The sequence below is a fragment of the Homo sapiens genome, chromosome 7, assembly GCF_000001405.40.
Source record: "Homo sapiens chromosome 7, GRCh38.p14 Primary Assembly".
NCBI classification, from domain to species: domain Eukaryota; kingdom Metazoa; phylum Chordata; class Mammalia; order Primates; family Hominidae; genus Homo; species Homo sapiens.
In genome coordinates this window covers 106,151,824-106,157,191 of record NC_000007.14, presented here as the reverse complement: position 1 = coordinate 106,157,191, position 5,368 = coordinate 106,151,824, and the positions used below count along the sequence as shown (strand labels likewise).

Sequence of the window (5,368 nt, the reverse complement as noted above, 5' to 3'; positions counted from 1 at the left end):
TTGTGATGCCTTACAGTCTCTTTTCCAATCATATTTTCAAGTTGCTTTTATTTATTTAGATATATTACATATAACTATTGTATACTTTGCATCTGATGATTTTAATACTCATAGTCTTTAGAGCCTGTTTTGGATATCAGTTTTTCCAACTGGCCTTCAGTCAGGTGCCTCATTTCCCTTTTCTTTTTAAGATTTTTGACCTTGAAATGCTCACTTACTTAAAAGTAAAGAAATTCACCATAGGAAATCTCTGAAGCTGTCGTTCAGATTGCAATCCTCCAGGAAGTTTTTATGTTTGCTTCTGCCATTTTTCTGGGGACACTATCAACCCAGAAGCATTCCCTTTTTTTTTTTTTTTTAATTTGAGATGAAGTCTTGCTCCTTCTCCCAGGCTGGAGTGCAGCGGTGCAATCTCGGCTCACTGCAACCTCCATCTCCTGAGTTCAACCAATTATCCTACCTGTCTCCCAAGTAGCTGGGCTCGCAGGCATGCGCCACCACACCCAGCTAATTTTTGTATTTTTAGTAGAGACAGGGTTTCGCCATGTTAGCCAGGCTGGTCTTGAACTCCTGATCTCAGGTGATCTGCCCACCTCAGCCTCCCAAAGTGCTGGGATTACAGGCATGAGCCACTGCACCCAGTCTCAACCCAGAACCATTCTAAATGTAATTATCTGTTTGAGGTTTTGTTTTTTACCACATAGGTTACGTAAATTTGGACCACAACTCTGAGAGAGCCAGCTTGTCATTACAAATTCTCATGGGAGATATTTTTATTCCCTCTCGTCCGGTGTCAAGGTTGAAACAGGCAATTCTCCTTACTATCCTCTTCAGCGTATTAGGTTTATTTCTTGCTCACTCCTGCCATCAGATTGTAGCCTGTTGGGTTCTCATCCTTAGGCAGAAGAGTCTCCTAACAAAGACTCACTCCTTGGGCAAGCCCTAGCCTCATCGTCTACCCTCTGATCTCCCCTGCAACTATCAAAAAGGAAGCTGAAAGTCTCCTGTCTGTAGCGGAAACCCTCGGTATTACTTCACAGAATTCCTGCTTCCTTCTTGTTTTTTGACCTCTCCAGATTTCTTTCAAAGAAGCTCAGCATTACATGTTTTAAATATGTTGTTTTGTCTAGCATTTTGCTTCCAGTTTTCCAGTGGAAGATAATTTAGAGTGTTTAATCTTCCATATGGACAGAAACAGCTATCCCACCCCATGAGGAGTAGGTCACTGGAAGAGTGGCAGGTGGGGTAGGGGTCCTCTGATTACGTCCACAAGTGGCCAGTGGCCAGTAGTTCTGGGCCACTATTCCTGGGGCCAGTTTGGCCTCTGCAAGATTCTGAGAGAGCCAATTACTAAGGGCTCAGCCTTAGGAGGATGTGACTATCCAAAACTACACAAGATGCTTAGAATTACCTTTTTCTAAAGAACTGCTGCCATGGCAAAGCTTCTCCTTATAGATGTATTCTAACTAACAAATGAAACAACAAAGAGATTATTGTTTCCGAATATCACCGTTTTGCAACGGCCAATGAGTTAGTCCACGTAGACATTGAGAATCGATGGCTGCTAACATCATGCACATAAAAGAGAGATTACGAGATGAAAGAAGCCTCACCACCTAGCATCTTACCAAGGGCTCAAGCCTGAAGGTGAGCCAGCCTCTGGATCCAGCTGCCCATCTGCAGGATCACAAAGGTCAGAGGAACATGAGAGATGACCACGTACACGCAATCTAAGATCCAGATCACAGGTCAAGTGGCCCAGATTCTTAAGCCCATACATTTAAAGGGAAAGGAAAAGATGGAGGGGAACACGTAAATTAAAAATAACTTGAGGACACATGACAATATTCAAAAGGAGGAACAATATTAAACTACAGTGTCTATGGCTACACATTTAGATGACAAACTAGAAAGAAATGCAAATAAGTAATTGCTATAAAAGTCAGAACGGTGGTTACTTACGGGTGTGGGAGGCTGCTGTGTTTGGGTGTCCACGTTGCAATCATTAAGCTATACTTGTCTTTTGTGTGGTTTTCTATAGCTGGTTTTATTTCATAGTAAAAAGGGTTTTGTTAAACAGTCAGAAGGGGGCAGTTATTCCTATCTCAAAATATTATCTCACTGCTCAGTCTTTACTGGTCCAACCCTACCTGAAGTATTCAATAGCTTTTTGAATTAGACTCTAAGGAACCCAAGGCAACCTGACAACACTCTTTCCAAACATATGGGCACAGATACACAGTTCTTTATACACACACACTTACATATACACAGCATTCTTCCCTCCTGCTGAGACCTCATCCCTCTTGTCCTCTCCCCAAAATGTTGCACCTCCTCAGCAGCCTGGCTGCATCGGCTGCTTTTCCACAACCTCCCTGATCTCTAGCTGAATGTGAGCCTATCACTATCTGGTGCTCTCTCATGGGATATATCTGGATCTGTCTCATTTTGTAATGACTTCCCCTCCTTCTGAGTTATATGATTATAAACTCCTGCAAGCAGAGAGTACATAACTTGTTTCATGTGTCCCTTTTAGTATGCGCACAATATTTTGCACAATATGGCCATTGAGAAGCATTTCTTGTTAAGTACAAGAAATTTACGGTCTTTCTTGTCTGGTAATTAAGTTAAAAAGCAACTGATGTCTCTATCATTGCCTTTTTTTTTTTTTTTCTTTTCTGAGACAGAGTCTCGCTCTGTCGCCAAGCTGCAGTGGCACCATCTCAGCTCACTGCAACCTCCCCTCCTGGGTTCAAGCAATTCCCCTGCCTCCGCCTCCAGAGTAGCTGGGACTACAGGAGCGCGCCACCACACCTGGCAATTTTTTTTTTTTTTTAGTAGAGACGGGATTTCACCATGTTGGCCGGGATGGTCTGGATCTTCTGACCTCGTGATCCACCTGCCTTGGCCTCCCAAAGTGCTGGGATTACAGGCGTGAACCACTGCGCCCGACCCTATCATTGCTTTTTTAACAGTCATGTTGCTCATTCTGTGTTAACGGAGCATTGATTTTACTTAGCATTCAGTTCTAAGTCACAAAGGTCTGTAATTTGCTTGTCAGCTTCTCTCTGTTAACAGGCCAAAAAGAAGTACCAGGAATTGGCCAAAGCTTTGAGGATAAGCACTAGTGGTGTTGGCAGCGACATTCCAGCAGAGAGCAGCAGAGGGCTGAGCGCTGGGCAGCTGCCTGCTGCAGGGCTCCTTGCTCCCAGGAATGTATTTGAGAGATGAGGCAAGGCGGGCGGGCGCACCCCAGGAAATCTCCTATTTCAAGGCAGAAAATGTCTAGAATCAGAGAACAAGAAAAGCTAGAATGTACCATGAGCCTCTTTGATCTGAAAGAGATCATAGTTCTGATGGGATCTGTACTTGTTCTAAGTTCAGCCTCTGCTGGGGGTGGGGGTCAGCCTTGTTTTTTTGGTTGGTTGGTTGGTTTTGAAACGGAGTCTCTCTCTGTCGCCCACGCTGGATTGCAGTGGCACGATCTCAGTTTACTGCAACCTCTGCCTCCCGGGTTCAAGCGATTCTCCTGCCTCAGCCTCCCGAGTAGTTGGGATTACAGGCATGCACCACCACACCCAGCTAATTTTTGTATTTTTAGTAGGGACGGGGTTTCACCACGTTGGCCACTCTGGTCTTCAACTCCTGACCTCAAGTGATCCGCCCGCGTTGACCTCCCAAAGTGCTGGGATTACAGGCGTCAGCCAGGGCACCTGGTCTGTTTTTTGTTTTGTTTTAACATAACATCCTGAAGCAACCTTCCTCCTGACTCAGCATCTGCCTCCTGGAAAGCCACCTTCCTTCCTCTGAGGGGCAGCTTCTCCTCTGTTCTCTGAGAGAGGAGCCAGTGCTTTGATGCAGCCTTATGGTTTTTCTTTTGTGGACTGCCCCTAATTGCAGCAGTCAGCAAGTTCTTTGCAGGGAAGGGCTGACTCACCTGCATTTTGGAAGAAGCCATCCTTATTTTCAGGCACAGAGAACATCTATTAGCCCAAAATGTCTTCCAAATTTCAAGGAGTACATGTTTCAAAAGGAATTGTCATCACAGTTTTACTCCAAGCAGTTGGCTTCCAAGAAGCCTGTCTCTGGCCATTGGGGATGTTAAAATAACCTAAATTTGGCCTGAGGAAGCCTTTGCACCCAAGTCCTTACTTAACTAACTGCAGGCAGCCTGGCTTACTAATCTAATTGAAAGCCTAAATTTAGGAGTATGCTTTTGTAAAAAATAGCTGAGTCTCCGCCATCACGGCAACTGAGCTTCCTTCAATCCCTGGCTGCCAACGATCAAATAAGGCAAACGCTGAGCCGGAACCAGTTAAGCCCTATATGTACCTCACTTCTGTTTTCCGTGCATCCATAACACTTGATCACATTGTTGACCATGTTCTTAGAACCCGTTCTGAATCAGAGGGCTGCCTGATTCACATGTCATGTGTTTTTGTTTTCTGAGTTTTTGTTTTTTTCTCACTTAAACTCTGCTAAACTTGTCTAAGGTTTTTCTTTTTAACAGGGTCTCTGGAACTCACTGCTCAAAGATCTTCCCTCTTGTTTATTGAAAGGTGACAGGTCCCCTCTAAAAACTGCAAGGTCAAGTATGTCTGTGACTTTAGCGACTGTCAAAAGAATGCAGGCAGGCCCAACTGAGTGGGGACACAAGGAAATATAGGGGATGACAAACAAGAACCGTCAGCTCTTGTGCCAGCTTCCTACGTACCGTCTGTGTTGGAACAATCACCCAGGTACTGACAGGTGCCAGCCTAGCTGCAGAGCAGGCTAACCCCAACCCCACCAAGCCCTGAGGGTGAACGTGGAGCAAGAACCTGGCTCACCAACTACAGCAAAAGAACCGTCTTGTTGAGCAAACTCTTCCCATGGGACTGTATAATACCTTTGGTTTCCCAACTTTTTACAAATTTACCTTGATCCTGAAATCTCTGCAGCACTTAAAGATTATGGACTTTTCTGTGAGAATCAGAGCTTTTGGACTATGTGACAGTACTTGTTGCCTGCTCAAAGTCTATTCTTCCTCCTTCCTTAGTGAGAGAACTTTGGACAGTATGTTTGTTTAAAAAGAAACAACAACAAAAAACTGCATTCCAAGCCTCTTGCACAGATTAATGTCACTAAATATGCCGGCGAGCCTGGGGATGAGGCCTTTTGGGAGGTGCATCTGCCCCTGTCCCTGTCCGATCCTGACTGAAACAGGGACACGGCCACAGCAGGGATGGTCCAGCAGTCATCTTGTGAGCTCAGTGCTGACAGCCACCCACAGGAGTGGCAGGCATACACAGGAGGGGTTGACACCAGTAACCTTTTGGAGCCACCATACCTGCCTCAACTCCTCCCTCCTTCTGTTACTGGAGAAAAT

General features: G+C 45.1%; 2 annotated features.

Moving 5' to 3' along the window:
- Positions 828–977: an enhancer, noted in NCBI's record as "active region_26483". NCBI's record gives its function as "activates an Ori minimal core promoter by ATAC-STARR-seq in GM12878 lymphoblastoid cells {active_cell/tissue: GM12878}" and the evidence as "EXISTENCE:reporter gene assay evidence [ECO:0000049][PMID:35858748]".
- Positions 1,911–1,960: a silencer, noted in NCBI's record as "silent region_18530". NCBI's record gives its function as "represses an Ori minimal core promoter by ATAC-STARR-seq in GM12878 lymphoblastoid cells {active_cell/tissue: GM12878}" and the evidence as "EXISTENCE:reporter gene assay evidence [ECO:0000049][PMID:35858748]".